A 22,245-nucleotide genomic window follows, 5' to 3' on the forward strand; every position below is an offset into this window, starting at 1 on the left:
GGTAGATTTACTTCTTTGAGAAATCTCCATATTGTTTTCCATAGAGGTTGTACTAGTTTACATTTCCACTAGCAGTGTATAAGTGTTCCCTTTTCACCACATGCACACCAACATTTATTGTTTTTTCACTTTTTAATAATGGCCATTCTGGCTGGACTAAGGTGGCATCTCATTTTGGTTTTAATGTGCATTCCCCCAGTGATTAGTGATGTTGAGCATTTTATCATATATTTGTTGGCTTTTTTTTTTTTTTTTTTTTTTTTTTGAGACAGAGTTTCACCCTTGTTGCCCAGGCTGGAGTGCAATGGCGCGATCTCAGCTCACCGCAGCCTCTGCCTCCCGGGTTCAAGCTATTCTCCTGCCTCAGCCTCCCGAGTAGCTGGGATAGTAGCTGGGATTACAGGTGTGCGCCACCACACCTGGCTAATTTTTTGTACTTTTAGTAGAGACAAGGTTTAACTATGTTGGCCAGGCTGGTCTTGAACTCCTGACCTCAGGTGATCAGCCCGCCTTGGCCTCCCAAAGTGCTGGGATTACAGGCGTGAGCCACCATACCTGGCCTAGGCCATTTTTATATCTTCTTTTGAGAAGTGTCTTCATGTCATTTGTCCACTTTTTGATGGGATTTTTTTTTTCTTGCTGATTTGTTTGAGTTCCTCGTAGATTCTGGATATTAGTGCTTTCTTTGTTGGGCGCATAGTTTGCAAATATTTTTTCCCATTCTGTGGGTTGTCTCTTTACTCTGATGATTATTTCTTTTGTTGTGCAGAAGCTTTTAAGTTTAATTAGTTCCCATTTATTTATTTTTGTTTTATTTGCTTTTGGAGTCTTAGTCATAAATTCTTGGCCAGTTTCCAGAAAAGTTTTTCCTAGGATTTCTTGTAGAATTTTTATGGGTTCAGGTCTCAGATTTACCTCTTTAATACAGGGATGTCCAGTCTTTTGGCTTCCTTGGGCCACATTGGAAAAAAAAGAATTGTCTTGGGACACACATAAAATATATTAACATGGTAGCTGATGAGCTTAAAAAAAATTGCAAAAAGATCTTGTAGTATTTTAAGAAAGTTTACACATTTGTGTTGGGCCACATTCAAAGCCATTCCGGGCCATGGTTTGGACAAGTTTGCTTTAATCCATGTTGAGTTCATTTTTGTAGGCATACAGTTTTATTCTTCTGCTTGTGGCTGTCCAGTTTTCCCAGCACCATTTATTGAATAGGGTGTTCTTTCTCCAATTTATGTTTTGGTGTGCTTTGTCAAAGATCAGTTGGTTGTAAGTATTTGGCTTTATTCCTGGGTTCTCTATTCTGTTCTGTTGGTCTGCATATCTACTTTTATACCAGTACTATGCTGTTTTGGTTGCTGTAGCCTTGTCAATATAATTTGGAGTTAGGTAATGTTATACCTCTTGATTTGTTCTTTTTCTTAGAATTGCTTTGGCTATTCAGGCTCTTTTTTAGTTCCATATGAATTTTAGGATTGATTCTGTGAAAAATGATGTTGGTATTTTGATAGGAATTGCCTTGAATCTGTAGATTGCTTTGGGCAGTATGATCATTTTCATGATATTGGTTCTTGCAATTGATGAGCATGGGACATATTTACATTTGTTTGTGTCATTTGTGATTTCTTTCAGTAGTGTTTTGTAGTTCTCCTTGTAGAGATCTTTTACCTCCTTGGTTAAGTATACTGCTAGGTTTCCTTTTTTTTTATTTTTTGCGGCTATTGTAAAAGGGATTGATTTGAGAATCAGATCTTAATTTGATTTTCCAGTTTGGTTGCCCTTTATTTTTTTTCTCTTGCCTGATTGCTCTAGCTAGGACTCCCAGTATTATGATGAATAGAAGTGTGGTAAAAGTGGGCAACTTGGTCTTGTTCCAATTCTTGGGAGAGGTGGGGATTCTTTTCAACTTTTCCCCATTTAGTATGATGTTGGCTGTGGATTTGTCGTATATGGCTTTTATTATTTTGAAGTATATTCCTTCTGTGCCTAGTTTGTTGCTTGTTTTTATCATAAAGGGATGCTGTGGGGCATTTTATCGGATGTTTTTTATGCATCCATTGAGGTAATCATATGGTTTTTGTTTTAAATTCTGTTTATGTGGTGAATTTGCATTTATTGACTTGCATATTAGGCCACTCTTGCATTGCCGAAAAGAAATACCTGAGACTGGGTAGTTTATAAGAAAAGAAGTTTAACTGGCTTATGGTTCTGCATGCTGTACAGGAAGCATGGCACCAGCATCTGCTTTTGGGGAGGCCTGGGGAAGCTTTTACTCGTGGCAGAAGATGAAGCAGGAGCAGATACTTCACATGGTGGAAGCAGAAGCGAGAGAGAGAGTGAGCGGGGACTTGTTACACACTTTTAAATGACCAGATCTTGTGAGAACTCACTATCACAAAGACAGCACTAATCCATGAAGGATTCACCCCCATGATCCAAACACCTCTCACTAGGCCCCACCATCAGCACTGAGGATTACAATTCAACAGGAGATTTGGCTGGGGACAAATACACAAACTATATCACATATATTGAACCATTCCTTCATCCCTTGGATGAAACCCACTTTATCATGGTCAGTTATCTTTTTGATGGGCTGCTGGATTACGTTTGTTAGTGTTTTGTTGATTTTTGCGTGTGTGTTCATCAGGGATATTGGTCTGTAGTTTTCTTTTTTTGGTTACATTTTTTCCTAAGTTTGGTATCAGGATGATAATACAGGCTTCATAGAATGAGTTAGAGAGGATTCCCTCCTTTTTCTCAATCTTTTCTTATCTTTTTTTTTTTAAACTGTAAGTTCAGGGGTACATGTACAGGATGTGCAGGTTTGTTACATAGGTAAACGTGTGTTATGGGGATTGGTTGTACAAATTATTTCATCACTCAGGTAGTAAGCCTAGTACCCACTAGTTGTATTTACTGCTTTTTTCCCTTCTCCCACCCTCCACCCTCTGATAGGCCCCAGTTTGTGTTCTTCCCCTCTATGTCTCTGTGTGTTCTCATCATTTAGCTCCTGCTTTTAAGTGAGAACAGGCGGTATTTGGTCTTTTGTTTCTGTGTTAGTTTTCTAAGGATAATGGCCTCCAGCTCCATCCACATCCCTGCAAAGGACATAATCTCATTCTTTCTTGTGGCTGCATAATATTCCATGGTGTAGATGTACCACATTCTCTTTCTCAATCTTTTGGAATAGTTTCAGTAGGATTGGCACCACTTCTTCTTAGAAGGTGTGGTAGAATTCTGCTATGAATCCACCTGGTCCTGAGTTTTGTTTTTTTTTTCTTGGTTGGCTATTTTTTAAATTACTGATGCGTTCTCACTGCTTGCTATTGGTTTGTTCAGGATTTCCATTCCTGATGCAAGCTCTGGGGGTTGTATGCTCCTAGGAATTCAACCATTTCCTCTAGATTTTCTAGTTTGTGTGCATAGAGGTGTTCATAGTAATCTCAAATGATCTTTTGTATTTCTTTGGTGTCAGTTGTAATGTCTTCTGGATTCTGTTTTCAGTGTTGTACATGAGAGCTTTTTACCAAACACAGATTTTCTCTAGTTTTTCTTAGAGTTTTACTGTTTTGGATTCTGGATTCAGGGCTGTCATCCATTTTGCATTAACTTTTGTATACAGTATGAATAATAGGTTGAGATTATCTTTTTTTGTCATATGATTGATTAGTTATTTCAGCCTTATTAGTTGGAAAAACTGACCTTTCTTTATTAAATTTCCTTTGCATCTTTGTCAAATATTAAATATCAATAGTTGATGATATTTGAGTGAGTTTATTTTGGGGCTTTCCCTTGTGTTTTATGGGTATGTGTTTATCTTTTTCTGATACAGTACCATTCTGTCTTGATTACTGTAGCTTTTTTTCCCTTTTCAACGCTTTATATCATTTATTAATGCAGTATATATTAGATCTAAAATCTGCAGTTTCTAAGCACACCATGTTTAGCTTTTACAGATCCTTCTGCAGTTTTAGGTTATTTCTACAGAGGTACCTTCAAGTGAATGAATAACATATTCTCTAATTCCTGAAAATATAGTACAGAATGAAATGATTTAAATATAATTTAGAGACATACTGATTATGGAAATAGATTATCTCTCAATACAATACTTTCTGTCTTGGTAAAAGTAATAAAGCAAAGAAAATAATTCATTTCTGAAGTTGCTCTCCTTCACTTGTAAAGTTCTGATCTCTTCCCACTATGCATATTTACCCTTTACTGTTAAGGAAAGCTTTGCATATGTAGATATAGAAGAATAAGCACGAAAATACTAAAGATATGTCATTCTCCTAAAGGAGACAAAAGTGGTTTTCAGTGATTCCTTGCCTCATGTTGATGAGTCTGTAGAATTCAGAACCCATTTGGACACAGCTAGTATCCCTGCTCTTGGGGTAGATATAAGGACACCAGGTCATTGGTAGGCAGGTACAGGCCCTTCCTCTGCTGCTGCAGAGAGATAATGACTCAAGAAAATTGGGCTGAAATTTGTTTTAAAAAAACCCAAAAAATATAAGTAAAAGAATCACAGGTGCTGACTGATTGGTATTACATTTTAGATCAGCCAAATGCCTTTATTTTTACTTTATATATATTTACTGGTGGCTGTAATCAAATGTCTGTCTAAAATTCCTCATTACCCACTGTAGGGTTCTAGCTTCAATATATTACATTGTCTTTTATCAGGCAACTCTGCCATATTCACTCATATTGTATAAGCTTTGATTGCAGTAGATCTGGATTTAATATCGATTTCTAAGCTGGCCTTATGTAAATTATTTGGTATTTGAATTAAATGAATATTAATGATGTACCTTGGTTTTTTGGTTTTGAAGTATCTTCCTATGCTTGTGCCGATCGTATGGGAAAACTAGGCTAATAGTGTAAATAGATAGAATTGCTTGGTCTGGTATTGAGTGGAACTTGCCTCTGGTATTGAGTGGAACCCCCCTACCCCATTCAAAAAGCAGCAATATCTAGTTTCCGTATACCTATTAATGAGTGCTTTTCTGTTAAAAATCAGAATATGGAAAAAAAGTCAATTTTTTCCCTTATGCACCGCTGAGAGCAAGCATAATTCTCTCAATGTTTTTTAAAAATTTCCTTACAGTGTTACTTCTTCTAGACAACTGAGTGGGTGGAGAAAGAAAAGTGATAAGGAAAATGTTTTCATCTTGTACATCTTCCTCTAGCCCCTAAAATTCTCATCTGACATTTTGCGACATGTATAGTGGTGTCAGCATCTCTTCAAATATAGCTCCCTACACGTTGGACCCTCTCAAGTTGGCTTCTTGAAGATCACACCCAGACAGATCACAGTTCTCTAAATTGGTTCCTGCCAGAGTTGCTCCTCTGAGGTTACAATTCTTCAACTTTGCATTTTTTAAGGTAGCCACTCTCAAGTTAATTCCTGTCATCTGACTTCCTTCCATATCCACACCTTTCAGATTAGCACCTTCTAAATTGGCTTTAAGACCAGAAAGATCCTCAAAATTACACAGTTTCAGGGATGCTCCTTCTGCATTAGAACAGAGCATCTTGACTCCCTGGAGATTTGCACAGTCAAGCACTGATCCAGAGAGATCACCTCATTCAAGATTTGCACAGTAAAGATTTGCATGTGCAAGATTGCAGCGGCTTAAATTGGCCATTTTGAAGTTAATGTATCGAAGGTCCTAACGAGAAACATCAGCACCACTGAAGTTCAAACTCTGGTATCACAGTTCTGACTTGGTTGGAGTTGCTATCAAAAATCGGACAAATTCCTTTCGAGATATTGGTGAATGATCCTCTGGTGATTGAGAATTCTTTATTGCCACTTCTAGGTGTTCAATCAGTGAGTCAATACCAAAAAATCTTGCTTCTTCTAACACACCCAATAAATTAATGCCATCATTTACAATGAGCTGTCCATGACACAAGTAGTTCAAAGTGGGTTCAAAGTACTCAGGACTTTGGTCAATTAAGAAGGCTCCTCTATGATCTTGCTTATTTCCCCAGACACCTCTGTTCTTAAGCATGTGGGCCAGCATACTGTCAGGTTCTTTATTCGCTAAAGTGCTCCGTGTAGTTGTAAAGTACCTCCCTCCAACATTTAATGTTAGCCACTCTGTGTGGAATCCTAACAATCCTTCAGGAGGCTTAGAATCTGTCTGAAGATCAATAAATGGCTCTCCCTCACACACAAATAAAACATCATCATCCCTGATCAAAGCAATATCATCAGTCAGTCCACCTTTCTCATTATACACACTGGTGGCTTTTATGCTGAGTTTACTGCTGGCCACAGAAAGCAAATCAGATAAAGTTCCATATACAGCAACCACCTTTCCGTTCTTGGGGGCTGCTGTTCAGGAACAGGGTCACCCGCCTCATTGCGCTGCCCCCGGTGGGTCCTGAGTGAGCCACCACCCTCCCACTTGGTCCTCCTCCCACCTTTTTCTCTTCCCACCTTTCCCTTCCCTCCACCCACTTGGATTCACCTCCCTTTGCCACCTTCCTGCCCTTGGGGACACACACACACAGGCACTCTGTCCCACACCCAGGGCTCGGCCAGTCTTCCTACTACTACAGCTTTTAAATATTTCTTACATATTAACAAACTTAAACTTAAATTTGGTAGGATGCTTTCCAACTTTTTTTTTTCTTTTTAAAAATGGCTTTGACTATTCTAATTTCTTTACTTTTTCATGTAAATTTTAGAAGCACCCTGTCTATATCTACAAATAATCTTGTTAGAATTATTTTGTGGATACATTCTTTTTGTACATATTTATGGGGTACATGTGATATTTTGTTGTATACAGAGAATATGTAATCAAGTTCAGGTATTTGAGGTATCCATCACCTTGAACATTTATTGTTTCTATGTGCTGGGAAGATTTCTAGTTCTCCCTTCTAGCTATTTTAGAATATGTGAGACATTGTTATTAATTGTAGTCACCCTACTGTGCTGTCAAACATGAGAACTTATTCCTTCTAATTGTATGTTTGAACCTATCAACTGATTTCTCTTTATCTTCCCCCCTCCCCTGCACTTCTTAGACACTGGTAACTATCATTCTAAGTCTCTACTTCCACAAGATCACCCTGTTGGGATTTTCTTTGGAATTATACTGAGTCTGAAGATCAATTTGGAGAATTGATGTTTTCAGTATATTGAGGTTTCTGATTCATCAGCACAGTATATCTCCCCACTTATTTAGGCCTTCTGTTTCTTTCGTGTACATTTTATAGTATATCAACATAGGGATCCTGATTATATTAGATTTGTACCTAAGCATTTTGTTTTTTTGAGTTATTACAAATAGGACTTTAAAATATTTTTTGGTTTCTAACTGTCATTGGTAGTGCATAGAAATTTTATTGATTTTTTTGAATGTTGTTTTTTTATAGAGTCCTTGGGATTTTCTACATAAATGGTCATTGTGTCTTGGAATGAATGTTTTATTTCTCCTTTTACAATCCGAATGCCTTTTATTTTTTTTCTTGCCTTATTGTACTTAACTAGGGCTTCCAGATTGACATTGAATGTGAATGTGGTGGGGTCAGGTATCTTTGCTTAAAACCTGACATTTAGAGAAAATATTTGGTCTTTTACCATTAAATAGGTAGTTAACTGTAGGTTTTTTGTACGTACCTATTATGGACTGAATGTTTGTGTCCCCCCCAAATATATATATTGAAGCCATCACCTCCAATGTTATAGTATTAGGAGGTGGGGGCCTTTGGGAGGTAATTAGGTTTAGGTGAGGTCATGAGGGTGGATTCTCTATGATGCGATTAGTGCCCTTCTGAAAAAAAGGAATAGATACCAGAGCTTTCTGTCTCCTGACCATATGAAGATACAGGAGAAGATGGCCCATCTGCAAGCCAGGAAGGGATCCCTCACCAACTTCCAGAATTATGAGAAATAAATGTATGGTGGTTAAGCCACCCAGTCTATGGTCTTTTGTTATAGCAGCCCTAGCTGACTGAGACAATATGCTTTTATCAAGTTGAGTAAGTTGTTTTCTGTCACTGATTGGCTGAGAGTTTTTTATCATGAATGGCTATTGAGTTTTGTCAAATGCCTTTTCTGAATTTTTTATCTTATTATGTTAATGTGGTTAATTACATTGATTTTTGATTGTTAAACCAGACTTGTATTCTTGGAACAAAGCCTTCTTGGTTGCAATGTACTATTCCTTTTAGATACTAGTTTAATATTTTTTCAAAGATCTTAGCTTTTATGTTGATGAGGGATGTTGTTTTGTAGCTTTCTTATGTCATATGGTACTTGATTTTGGTATCAGGGTGATGGTAGCTTCATAAAATGAATTTGGAAGTGTACTATCCAATTCTGTTTTGGGGAAACTGTTGTGAAAAAGTAATGTTACGTCTTCCTCAAATGTTTGGTAGAGTTTGCCAGTATAGCCAACTGGGCTGGGGTTTTCTTTTCTGTTTTTGAAAGCTTTTAACTATGAATTCAGTATATTTAGTGGATATAGGACTATTCGAGTTCTTCCTTCCTTTAAGTTACCAAATTTATGTGCATAAGATTATTATAATAGTAATATTTCTTTGGGATCAGTACTGATATATCTCCTAATTTTCCCTGAATTGGTGGTAATTTGTGTCTTCTCTCTCTTTCTCTCCTTTTCTTGTTCTGGCTAAAAGTTTATCAACTTTATTGATTTATTTTCTCCTACTTGCCTTCTTTTTCTAATATTTTAAGATGGATGCTTTAATTATTAATTTGAGACTTTTCTTATTTTCTAATAGAAATGCTCTAAGCATTTCTTTAACTGTGTCCCACAACTTTCAGATGTTATATTTTCATTTTTATTCAGTTCACTTGGGATTACCTTTTTGACCCATGGGTTATTAGTGTGGTGTTTAAATATACAAGTATTTGAGACTTTTTTCTTACTGGCTTCTAATTTAATTCTCTTATGATCTAGAAACATACTTTAAAAAAAAAAAAATTCTGGCCTCAAGTGATCCTCCCACCTCAGCCTCCCAAAGTACTGGGACTGTAGGCATGAGCCATCACACCCAGCCCTTGGAAACATACTTTGAATAATTTTAATTTTTAAAATATCTGATGAAGTGTGTTTTGTTACTTAGAATATGATTTTAGTGAATTTTCTGTGTGCACTTGTAAGGAATGTGTACTCACTTGTCAACACTTAGTGCTGCTCTCTAGTCAAAGCCACTGTCGATCTTCGCATGACTCACATTAACATCTTCCCAGTTGGACCTATAAATTCTTTTTTTTTCTCGTTTTTCAACAGGCTTTTCTTCACTGAGCAGCCCTATAGATTCTTTTTTTTTTTTTTTTTTTAACAGACTTTCCTTCACTGGGCAACCAGAATATTTTTTAAAAAGTATTTAGTTTCTAGCCTGTGCAGTATAGCAGAAACCACATCTCTATAATAAATAAAAAATCAGCTGGGTGTAGCGGTGCTTGCCTTGTAGTCCCAACTACTTGGGAGGGTGAGGTGGGAGGATCTCTTGAATTCAGGAGGTTGAGGCTGCAGTGAGCTGTGGTGGTCGCACCATTGCACTTGAGCCTCAGCAACAGAGTGAGACCCTCATCTGTAAACAAACACTCCCCCCCCCAAAAAAAAACTTAATAAAATTATTTATTTTGGTATAATTTTAAACTTAAAGAATAGCTGTAAATTAAAAGGGGTGTAAAGCTTCTTTATACTTCTTTTTCAGATTTACCAATTGCTAACATTTTGTCTCATTGCTTTATTTTCACCTTACCCCTTCCTTCCTTTTCCCTCCTCCATTCCTCCCTCAACTAACACAAACTAACCCACCTTCCTATCCCACCTGTATATACACACTCATATATATATGCATATGCATATAAATTACATATATGTGTGTTTAGTTTTCAGCTTTTGAAAGTAAGTTGTAAACGTCATGCTCTTTTACTCCTAAATTCTTCAGTGAGGTGTTCCTAATAACAATGCATTTTCATACATAATCATAATTTTCTTTTTTAAGAGACAGGGTCTTGCTTTGATGCCCAGGCTGGATTAGAATCCCTGGGCTCAAGCAATCCTTCTGCCTCAGTCTCCCTAGTAGCTGGGACTACCAGGCACAAGTTACCATGCCTGGTGGATAGCCATGAATTTAACATTGATAACGTATTATTATCTAAATCACATTTCACATTCATGTTTCACTGATTATCTCAACAATCTGTATAATGATTTTTTCACCAGTTCCAGGCTCTGATCAAGATCACACATTGTATATAGTCATCATATCTGTTGTCTCCTTTAATTGGGAATGGCTTCTCTGCATTATTTCGTCTTTATTTTTCCTTGACATTTTTTGAGGACTGCAGGTCAGTGATTTGATAAAATATAGAATTTGATTTTACCTCATAGTTTGAATTAGGTTATGCATTTTTAGAAGGACTATGACAGAAATGATATGGTGTCCTCCTTTCTTCATCATACCAGGAAGTATGTGATGTCAGCTTCAGTTTGTCCTTGCATTGGTGATGTTAACCTAGATCACTTGTTTAAGGTGGTGTCTACCAGGTTTTTCCACTATAAAGTTACTGTCTTCTCATTGCAATTACTAAGTAATTTGCAGGGAGATTTTGAGGCTTTGTAAATATTCATTTTCAAACTTTTCTCCACAATTTTAGCATCTATTGATGATTCTTTCCTGAATCAGTTATTACTGTGATGATTGCAAAATGATGATCTTTTAACTCCATCATTTATTTTATGTTTATCAGTAGCATTCTACTAAAAGGAAGAGCTTTGTTTGTTTGTATATTTATTATATTAGTATACACTCAATGGTCCTTGTTTTAGTGAATGGTTTATAATTCGTTACTATCATTATTTATTGTGATGCCCTAACTATTCCAGATTTAGCCAGCAGAAGGCTCTTCAACGTGTGCTTTATCCTTTTAACATGTCTCCATCATCTTTGTAGTACTTTCTTTTTTTTTTTAATACAACAAAATGTTCCACGTTCATCTTGCTCGTTTCCTACCCCATCTCTGTAATCAATAATTTTTGCAAGAAGCCCTGGTTCCTTTTAAGGAGAGGTGATTGTTAGAGACCAGGATCTCTGTGTTAGTTTTGCTGGAATATATTACTTCTAGACATTCTTAACATACAGAATTAGAGAATAACTAACACATATATACATATACAACAATTTTATCTACCTATTAAAAATCATGAGTTCACATTGATACCCTTAATTTCTATTTAACATCAGAGAGTTCATTCTAGTCTTCCGCCTTTTCACTTTTGTAACTATCTTCTCCAACAGGGCTAAACCTTACTCCAGTTGTCCCCAGCACATTTCCTCCTTGGCTTAGTTCTTCATTATATTGAAGGCAGTTTCAGAATTGCTAATGCATACCACTGCAAAAAAGAAACAAATGTATTAATTAGAATTCAATATTTATTTACAGTTCTTTTGGTCTTAGACTGAGAATATGTACTAGGTTCCTGGGCTGTTTTAACTAATTACTACAAACTTGGTGGCTGAAAACAACAGAAATTTATTCTTTTACTATTACAGAGGCCAGAAGGCTGAAATCAAGGTGTTGGCAAGAATGTTGGCTCTAGGCAAGAATGCCCTTTCTTGCCTTTTTCAGCTTCTGGTGACTCGGGGTATTCCTTGGCTTGTGGCTATATAACTCCATTCTCTGCCTCTGTCTTTACATAGCCTTCTCTTTTTGTCTTTTTCTCTTCTCTTTTCTTCTTTAAAAAAAATTTTTTTTTTCTTGAAACAGGGTCTCATAATGTTGCCCAGGCTGGAGTGTAGTGGTGTGATCTCAGTTCACTGCAGTCTCCATCTCCTGGGCTCAAGCCATCCTCCACCTCAGCCTCCCAAATAACTGGGACTACAGGCACCTGCCACCACACGTGGCTAATTTTTGTATTTTTTGTAGAGATGGGGTTTAGCCATCTTGCCTAGGCTGGTCTCTAACTGAGCTCAAGTGATCTGCCTGCCTTGGCCTCCCAAAGTGTTGAGATTACAGGTGTGAGCCACCACGCCCAGCCCTCTTCTATCTCTTATAAGGACATTTGCTATTGGATTTAGAGCCTGCACAGAATTGCATCTAGAATTTTTTTTTTTTTTTTGAGACAGGGTCTTGCTCTCTTGCCCATGCTGAAGTGCAGTGGTGTAATAATGGCTCACTGCAGCCTCGACCTCTTGGGCCCAAGAGAACCTTCCATCTCAGCCTTCCGAGTAGCTGTGACTACCGTTGTGTGCCACCATGCCTGGATAATTTTTTTTCTTTTTTTTGTAGAGATGGGGTTTTGCCATGTTGCCCAGGCTGGTCTCAAACTCCTGAGCTCAAGCAATCCGCCTGTCTTGGCCTCCCAAAGAGCTGGGATTACTGGCATGTGGCACCGCACCCAGCCGAGATTCTTAATTATATCTGCAAATAACCTTTCCCAAAATAAGGTCATGTTTACATGTTCTTGGGATTAGAATATGGACATATCTTTTTGGGGGCCATCAACCCACTTACAGGGTAGATAGTTATCTGGGGTATTCCCTTCTGTTTATTCTTTCAGTATATGTGTTACTAATTTGAAATGTAAGGTTGATTTGTTCCTGTTTATATTCAATTTTTGGTTGTCCCATCCTTATTTTTTTGTGTGAATATGTAAAATGTTAACACTGTTCCAAAAGTCAAAAAATGAATAAAGAATCACAAACTATGATGGCTATTATTAAGGAAATGCACAGGTACTAAGGTAAAGAACAATGTGGTGGGCCATGTTTTCTTACATAGAGGACCAGGGAATACTTATTTGAGCAAGTGGCATGTAAACTGAGAGTGAAATAATGAGAAGGAGCCAGTCATGAGAAAGTGGAAAAAAGAGCTTTCCAGCGTAGGGAAAGCATATAAGAAGGCCCTGATATGGAGCAGAGCTGAACATATTGGAGGAACTGAAAGGAAGGAAGTGGCTGGTATGTGCTGGGCATGAGGGAACACAAAATAAGTGAAGATGGAAGGAACATGGAGCCAGAAAATAAAATTCGTTGTGGACTGTGTATATTAGGGTTCCCTAGAGGGACAGAACTAATGGAATATACATACAGGGGAGTTGATCAAGTATTAACTCACATGATCACAAGGTCCCACAATAGGCTGTATGCAAGCTGAGGAGCAAGGAAGGTAGTCTGCACCAAAACTGAAGAACTTGGAGTCCGATGTTTGAGGGCAGGAAACATCCAGCATGGGAGAAAGACGTAGGCTGGGAGGCTAGGCCAGTCTCTCATTTCACATTTTTCTGCCTGCTTATATTCTAGCCGAGCTGGCAGCTGATCAGATTGTGCCCACCCAGAGTAAGGGTGGGTCTGCCTTTCCCAGCCCACTGACTCAAATGTTAATCTCCTTTGGCAACACCCCCACAGACACACCCAGGATCAATACTTTGTATCCTTCAATCCAATCAAGTTGACACTCATTATTAACCATCACACTGTATAAGAGGTTATAAAGCCAGTAAAAGGTTAAGTGGCATTTTAATTTAATTAAATTGATCAGTTTATTTATTTTGAGATGGTGTCTGACCCTGTCACCTAGGCTGGAGTATACTGGTACAGTTGTAGCTCACTGTAACCTCCAACTCCTGGGTTCAAGGGATCCTCCCACTTTAGTCTTCTAAGTAGCTGGAACTATAGATGTCTATCCCATACTCAGCTAAGTTTTTATTTTTAGTTTTTGTAGAGACAGGATCTCACTCTGTTGCCCAGGCTGATCTCAAACTGCGGACCTTAAGTGATTGTTCTGCCTCAGCCTCCCAGAAGTGCTGGGATTATAGTTGTGAGCCACTGTGCCGACATTATGGCATATTTAGAACTACATATATATATATATATATATGTATGTATGTATGTTTATGTATTTTTTTTTCCATTAACTTTTAAGTTCTAGGGTGCATGTGCAGGATATACAGGTTTGTTATATAGGTAAATGTGTGTCATGGTGATTTGCTGCACAGATCAACCCGTCACCTAGGTATTAACCCCAGCATCCATTAGCTATTCTTCCTGATGTTCTCCTTCCTTCCACCCTGCACCCCCGAGGGGCCCCAGTTCGTGCTGTTCCCCCGACAGTGTGTCCATGTGTTCTTATCGTTCAGCTCCCACTTATAAGTGAGAACATGCAGTGTTTGGTTTTCTGTTCCTACGTTAGAACTATATTTTTAAGGGATTATACTGATTGCTATGTAGAGCACATGAGGTAAAATGAAAGCAGAGGTGGGCGCAGTGGCTCACTCCTGTAATCCCAGCACTTTGGGAGGCGAGGCAAGCGGATCACTTGATCCCAGGAGTTCAAAACCAGCCTGGGCAACATGGTGAGACCCCGTCTCTACGAAAAATACAAAAATTAGCCAGGCATGGTGGCTCATGCCTGTAATCCCAGTCACTTGGGAGGCTGAGGCAGGAGGATCACTTGAGCCTGGGAGGCCAAGGCTACAGTAAGCTGTGAACATGCCACTGTACCCCAGCCTAGGTGACTGAGTGAGACCCCTGTCTCAAGAAAAAAAAAAAAAAAAGAAAAAGCAGAGAGACTAATAACAAACCTGTTACAGTACATATTAACTGATATAGAAGCATGAGAGAATGTTGTGAGAGAATAAGTGATAGTGATGAAAAAGAGAAAAGTGAATAGATTTTAGAAAGTGAATAGAAATAGAATGTATTTTGGATAGAATTGTCAAGAATAGCTGGTGGATTGAATCTGTGTAGATAGAAGGTTTTAGGACCATGGTTATGGGAATATTTAAGAACAACTCTCACGTTTTTAGCTTGAGCTACTAGGAAAGAAACTGATTGAAAATAAAGTGGGCAGAAAGAATCAAGATTTTCCCTGTACCTGTTGTGTTCGAGATGCCTATGATATGCAGATAGAAATGTCAAGTAGATAGTTGGATGTGCAAGCCTTGAGTTCAGGGGTGGAAAATGAGATCTCAGACTTGCCGTCTAGTCCTTCCAGGTATTGGTTCAATTCATGCCTCCCACATGGCTAAGAGTCTCCACCTCCCCTCATTTGTATTCCGTAAACATGAACAGAATGTCAGGCCTTGGCCAGATACTATTTGAGGCATTGTAGACAACTTTGGCTGAAGATGATCTCCAGGCCTATGTATCTTTTCAGAGAGTTACTGTTATTTTTCTTGTAAGTCACTTAAATATGTACATTTTACTTCTTTAATCATAGTTTTATTTTGAACTGTGTCAGAGTAAGAGATACTGCAGTTATTATACTAAAAAAGACCAGGCTCTTTTCTATCCCACGTAAATCTGACTTGCTGTATGAGACCACTCTAGCTGACTTTACTGCCTAAGAGGGAATTATGCATTTGTATATATGTGTGTGTTTATGTTTGCTATGTACTCTAGTTGATTTGGTGTATATGTCAGTTTACGTATATCAGCATCACATTGTTTTAATTATAGTGTTTTTATATTCTCTATACTTAATGGAGCTAATTTTCCTCAATCATTTAAAATATATTCTTCCTTTTCTCACATACTTATTTTTACAGAGGCATTGTAGAATCAAGGTTGTTGACACATTTTTAGGAAATATGGATTTCCCTTCCAATCTCTTGCCTTCACCTTGCTTATTTGTAAATGCTTTCTATTCTTGATTCTCTTCCATTGAAGAAAGGAGTTATGATCTTTGAAGAAGGACCTGTCTTTCTTATTTTGGCTTTACCTTTCTTTTTTTCTTCTAAAGAAAGGATGTCATTTTCCTCTCCATTTCCCACCTTACTAAGCACCTGTTACATACAAGCACTGAGTTAATTCCTGAGGTGGGCACAGGGTGGTACACAAAGAGTTAAAGCGAAATAAATGAAACATGTTATGAGAGAAAATTGGGATAAAATAATATAGGTTTATAATTAAAATGGTGCCCTTTTGGGGGAACTAAACATTTTTACATTTAAAAATGACATGTCAGTTTCTAGTCAGTTTATTTTTTACCTTTTTAAAACATCTTTTTTTCCCCTTTGTCTTTATTTTTAAGGGTCATACAGCAATGCTTCATACTGGCTCATGGCATCCCAAAATAAAGGGAGAATTTATGACTTGCTCAAATGATGCGTGAGTATTGTTGATAATTCATCTAATACATTCATATCTTTAGGTATTTTATTTAACGTTTGGATTGTTACAATCTTGGCAGTAATGTAGTAAGTGGAATATTAGGAATTCTTATTATATACATATATATATATATTTTTTTTTTTTTTAAGGGGGAGTCTTGCTCTGTTGCCCAGGCTGGAGTGCAGTGGTACGATCTTGGCTCACTGCAACCTCCAGCTCCTGGGTTCAAGTGATTCTCCTGCCTCAGCCTCCCAGGTAGCTGAGATTACAGATGCCCCACCACCACACCCGGCTAATTTTTGTATTTTAGTAGAGACGGGGTTTCATCATGTTGGTCAGGTTGGTCTCAAACTCCTGACCTCAAATGATCTGCCTGCCTCAGCCTCCCAAAGTGCTGAGACTACAGGTGTGAACCACTGTGCCCGGCCTATATATTCTTGTTCTTTACTTTGATTTTATCTGATAGTGTAGTATTTGATTAAACAAAAATAGACACTATGAAAACGAGAGTGGTATAAATTCCTGTAGAGTTTATTAAGGTTGGATCAGATTGATGCTATTAAGTGGACTCAAAGGACTTTGAAGTTGTGACTAATTATTACTTTGTATAATAAAGGCTTATTTCCATCTGAGTCTAATAGCTAACATAAGCTTATTGGCTAAGATTGATTTTGAAAGGAATAACTGAGGAAATTGATTAAATTTGGTGTGTATGTCAGTTCATACATACCAGCATCACTTTGAAGCAAATTAATTAAATTTCCTTGGTTATTAAATTTTTTTTTTTTTTTGAGATGGAGTTTCGCTCTTGTTGCCTAGGCTGGAGTGCAATGGCACGATCTCAGCTCACTGCAGCCTCCACCTCCTAGGTTCAAATGATTCTCCTACTTCAGCCTCCCAAGTAGCTGGAATTACAGGCATGCATCACCACACCAGGCTAATTTTGTATTTTTAGTAGAGATGGGGTTTCACCATGTTGGCCAGGCTGGTCTCGAACTCCTGACCTCAGGTGATCCACCTGCCTCGGCCTCCCAAAGTGCTGGGATTATAGGCATGAGCTATGGCACCAGACCCTAAAATTTTTTTATTTTAATTTTTGTGAGTATACAGTAGGTATATATATTTATGGGGTATGTGAGATATTTTGATAGCCATGCAATGCATAATAATCACATCATGTAAAATGGGTATCCATCTCCTCCCTTCGTGTTACAAACAATCCAGTTAAACTCTTTTAGTTATTTTATTTTTATTATATTATTTTTTATTATATTATTATATTATATATTATTTATTTATTATATTATTTATTTTATTTATTATATTATTTATTTTTTTGAGATGGAGTTCCACTCTTGTCACCCTGGCTGGAGTGCAGTGTCACGATCTCGGCTCACTGCACCTTCCAACTCCCAGGTTCAAGTGATTCTCCTGCCTTGGCTTCCCAAAGAGCTGGGATTACAGGTGCTTGCCACCATGCCCAGCTAATTTTTATATTTTTAGTAGAGATGGGGTTTTATCATGTTGCATAGGCTGGTCACGAACTCCTGAACTCAGGTGATCCACCCACTTTGGCCTCCCAAAGTGCTGGGATTATAGACATGAGCCACTGCGCCCAGCCTCTTTTAGTTATTTTAAAATGTACAGTTATATTATTATTGACTATAGTCACTCTGTTATGCTATCAAATATTAGGCCTTATTCATTCTTTCTATTTTTTTTTTTAACCCATTAACCATCCTTAACTCATTCCCATACTCCGCTACCCTCTTCAGCGTCTGGTAACCATCGTTCTTCTCTCTGTGTTCATGAGTTCCATTGTTTTGATTTTTGGATCTCACAAATAAGTGAGAACATGCAATGGTTGTCTGCGTGTCTGGCTTATTTCATTTAATGTAATGATCTCCAGCTCCATTAATGTTGTTATAAGTTACTGGATCTCATTCTTTTTTCATGGCTGAATAGTACTCCATTGTATATATGTACCACATTTTCTTTATCCATTTATCTGTTGATGGATGCTTAGTTTGCTTCTGAATTTTGGCTATTGCAAACAGTGCTGCAACCAACGTGGGAGCACAGATATCTTTTTTTTTTTTTTTTTTTAGTATTTATTGATCATTCTTGGGTGTTTCTCGGAGAGGGGGATGTGGCAGGGTCATAGGATAATAGTGGAGAGAAGGTCAGCAGATAAACACGTGAACAAAGTTCTCTGGTTTTCCTAGGCAGAGGTCCCTGCAGCCTTCCCACGGTGTTTGTGTCCCTGGGTACTTGAGATTAGGGAGTGGTGATGACTCTTAACGAGCATGCTGCCTTCAAGCATCTGTTTAACAAAGCATATCTTGCACCACCCTTAATCCATTTAACCCTGAGTTGACACAGCACATGTTTCAGAGAGCACGGGGTTGGGGGTAAGGTTATAGATTAACAGCATCCCAAGGCAGAAGAATTTTTCTTAGTACAGAACAAAATGGAGTCTCCTATGTCTACTTCTTTCTACATAGACACAGTAACAATCTGATCTCTCTTTCTTTTCCCCACATTTCCCCCTTTTCTTTTCGACAAAACTGCCATCGTCATCATGGCCCATTCTCGATGATCGCTGTCTCTTCGGAGCTGTTGGGTACACCTCCCAGATGGGGCACCGGGCAGAGGCGCTCCCCACTTCCCAGACGGGGTGGCTGGGCAGAGGCACTCCTCACATCCCAGAAGATGGGCGGCTGGGCAGAGGCGCTCCTCACTTCCCAGACGATGGGCGGGTGGGCAGAGACGCTCCTCACTTCCCAGATGGGGCAGCCGGGCGGAGGCGCTCCTCACTTCCCAGACGGGGCGGCCGGGCGGAGGCGCTCCCCACTTCCCAGATGATGGGCTGCCGGGCGGAGGCGCTCCTACATCCCAGACTGGGCGGCCGGGCGGAGGCGCTCCTCACCTCCCAGACGGGGCGGCGGGGCGGAGGCGCTCCTCACCTCCCAGACGATGGGCGGCGGGGCAGAGGCGCTCCTCACCTCCCAGACGGCGTGGCCGGGCGGAGGCGCTCCTCACCTCCCAGACGGGGCGGCCGGGCGGAGGCGCTCCTCACTTCCCAGACGATGGGCGGCCGGGCAGAGGCGCTCCTCACCTCCCAGATGGGGCGGCTGGGCAGAGAGAGCACAGATATCTTTTCGATTTACTGATTTCCTTTGTTTTGGATATATACCCAGCAGTGAGTTCGCTAAATCATATGGTAGCTCTATTTTTAGGTTTTTGAGGACCCTCCAAACTGTTCTTCATAATGGTTTTACTAATTTACATTTTCACCAACAGCATATGAGGGTCCCTTTTTCTCCACATCCTTGCCAGTGATTAAATGGTTAAGATTCTTTTGCATTTGTATCTGCTCATCCATGACTCAAGAATATTATAGAATATTTGAGCAGCTTTTCCCTCTATTGTTATATTATATGATTCATTTTAGTATTAAAAGTAGTTCACAGGAATGCACTTCGTATGATTACATAGAAAATTACAATAAAAAATCTTGAAAGTTAAAAAAATAGGTGGTATTATTTAGGTGAATCATTAGTTAAATAAGAACTTTTTTATTCTTAGGTTATTTTGTCTTTCATCTTTCAACTTTCTGATACTTAAATTTGCCTTGTTAACATTCACAGTTGCTGTTCATATTCTTAGATACTTTATGTTTTCTGAAATATATCTTTAGAAGACAAATGACATAATTTCACTTTCATAGAGGAATTTAAAAAATTAATTTGATCTAAAAGAAACTGAAGTTTGTCAATCTATACAAGTAAGAATGTGACTAAAATAAAATAAATATATTTTAGTAAAATTTCTGGTAAATCAGATTATGTAGTGTTAATTTCTTTTCCTATCTTAGTCTTTGCAGCTGCATAATTACTTTTCCAAATAGTTAAGGTATGTTTGTTTAAAGTTATGTTTCTTATTTCAGCATTAGGGAATGAACTTTATCAGCAATCTAAATTAATAATATAGCATGACTAGGTAAGGTTTATTCTAGGATGTAAGGATATTTTACCACCAGGATATTTCAGTATACTTCATTGCTGAATGAATGAAAGGTTAAAATCATGTGATTTTATTATATGATAAAGTGGACATTTGATAGAATTTAGTCTTTCCCAGTAAAAGTTCTAAGTAAAATACAGATAGGAAGAAATTACTTAAATCTGATAAAAATTAGTTACTAAAATTTAAAGTAAATATTGCATTAAATATTGGAGTACTGAAGCTACTTGCGTTTAAATAGGAAACAAGACAGTCCCATAACTACTTTGAGACTTATGCAGGAGAGACTTTGTGCAGTGTCTTAAGAAAATGAATAATTGATACTAATGTTAGAAGAAAACAAATACACTATTGGACCACAGAGGACTTGGGCTATTCTGGTTAAAACTTAACCACAGAGGACCTGGGCTATTCTGGTTAAAACTTAACCACAGAGGACCTGGGCTATTCTGGTTAAAACTTAAGTTGAATAGAGCAGTTGGGAAAAAAACTTTGTTCTCAAAACTGTTGGATCAGTGTGAATGGTGGGCTCTCATAGTTGATAATGTTTTAACTTTTATGAGCACTACAGCAGCCTTTCCCAAATAGATTTCCAGGCTGTGTAAATTAGAAGTTTGACAAAAGGCATTCTGTGGTCAAATAAATTTGAGAAGCTTTGAATGTTATATTCCAAGACCAGTGATACACAAACATTTAAAAGTTTTTAAAAATAATTTTTAACAACTTTTTTATTTCAGTAGGTTTTTGGGGGACAAGTGGTATTTGATTACATGAATAAGTTCTGCAGTGATGATTTCTAAGATTTTGGTGCACCCATTATCTGACCAGATTACACTGTACCCAATGGGTAGTCTTTTATCTCTCACCACTCGCCACCGTTTCCCCCAAGTCCCCAAAGTCCAATGTATCATTCTTATGCCTTTGTGTTCTCATTGCTTAGCTCCCACATGTGAGTGAGAAGATGCGATGTTTGGTTTTCCATTCCTGAGTTACTTCACTTAGAATAATAGTCTTCAATTCCATCCAGGCTGCTATGAATGCAATTATTTTGTTCCTTTTTGTGGCTGAGTAGTAGTCCAAGTATACACACACACACACACACACACACACACACACACACACCCACATGTTCTTTATCAACTTGTTGATTGATGGGCATTTGGGCTGGTTCCATGTTTTTGCAATTGCAAATTGTGACCCTATAAACATGTGTGTTCAAGTATCTTTTTTGCATAATGACTTCTTTTCCTCTGGATAGACACCTGTAGATCCAGTGGGATTGCTGGATCAAATGGTACATCTACTTTTAGTTCTTTAAGTAATCTTCATACTTTGGTTGTGGTAGTTTACATTCCCGCAAACAGTGTGAAGATTGTAAGTGTTGCATTTTCACTGCATCCCCACCAACATCTATTATTTTTTGATTTTTTTATTATGGCCATTATTACAGGAGTGAAGGTGGTATCGCATTGTGGTTTTTATTTGCATTTCCCTGATCATTAGTGATGGTGAGCATTTTTCCATATGCTTTTTGGCCATTTATATATCTTCTTTTAAGAATTGTCTATTTTGGCTGGGCATGGTGGCTCATGGCTGTAATCCCAGCATTTTGGGAGGCTGAGGCGGGCGGATCATGAGGTCAGGAAATGAGACCATCCTAGTTAACACAGTGAAACCCTGTCTCTATGAAAAACACAAAAAATTAGCTGGGCATGGTGGCATGCGCCTATAGTCCCAGCTACCTGTGAGGCTGAGGCAGAAGAATCACTTGAACCCAGGAGGTGGAGGTTACAGTGAGCTAAGATCGCGCCACTGCATTCCAGCCTGGGTGATGGAGTGAGACTCTGTCTCAAAAAAAAAAAAAAAAAAAAAAAAGGTGGCAGTTCCAAGATGGCCCAATAGGAACAGCTCCAGTTTACAGCTCCCAGTGTGAGTGACACAGAAGATGGGTGATTTCTGCATTTCCAACTGAGGTACCAGGTTCATCTCACTGGGGCTTGTTGGACAGTGGGTGCAGGACAGTGGGTGCAGCCCACTGAACGTGAGCCAAAGCAGGGCGAGGCATCACCTCACCTGGGAAGCACAAGGGGTCAGGGAATTCCC

The 22,245-nt window shown here is 38.5% G+C and overlaps 1 protein-coding gene and 1 pseudogene across 5 annotated transcripts in view, besides 2 other annotated features; one reads left to right on the forward strand and one right to left on the reverse strand.

The window, feature by feature from the left end:
* WDR70 (WD repeat domain 70) overlaps positions 1-22,245 on the forward strand; it is a 374,118-nt gene that overhangs the window by 121,160 nt on the left and 230,713 nt on the right. For all 5 annotated transcript variants that reach the window (NM_018034.4, NM_001345998.2, NM_001345999.2 and 2 more), the window contains one exon: positions 16,037-16,113. In NM_018034.4, coding sequence (NP_060504.1) covers positions 16,037-16,113 — 77 coding nt within the window. The remainder of the gene's footprint in view (positions 1-16,036; positions 16,114-22,245) is intronic.
* On the reverse strand, positions 4,950-6,567 carry KCTD9P5 (potassium channel tetramerization domain containing 9 pseudogene 5; annotated as a pseudogene).
* Positions 5,537-6,736: an enhancer, noted in NCBI's record as "CDK7 strongly-dependent group 2 enhancer chr5:37506116-37507315 (GRCh37/hg19 assembly coordinates)". NCBI's record gives its function as "activates an origin of replication core promoter dependent on BRD2, BRD4, P300/CBP, MED14 and CDK7 cofactors, with strong dependence on CDK7, by STARR-seq in HCT116 cells {active_cell/tissue: HCT116}" and the evidence as "EXISTENCE:reporter gene assay evidence [ECO:0000049][PMID:35650434]".
* Positions 14,976-15,176: a silencer, noted in NCBI's record as "peak5231 fragment used in MPRA reporter construct". NCBI's record gives its function as "represses an SCP1 promoter by STARR-seq MPRAs in K562 erythroleukemia cells {active_cell/tissue: K562}" and the evidence as "EXISTENCE:reporter gene assay evidence [ECO:0000049][PMID:32103011]".

Source organism: Homo sapiens, chromosome 5 (assembly GCF_000001405.40).
Source record: "Homo sapiens chromosome 5, GRCh38.p14 Primary Assembly".
In the NCBI taxonomy this organism is placed as follows: domain Eukaryota; kingdom Metazoa; phylum Chordata; class Mammalia; order Primates; family Hominidae; genus Homo; species Homo sapiens.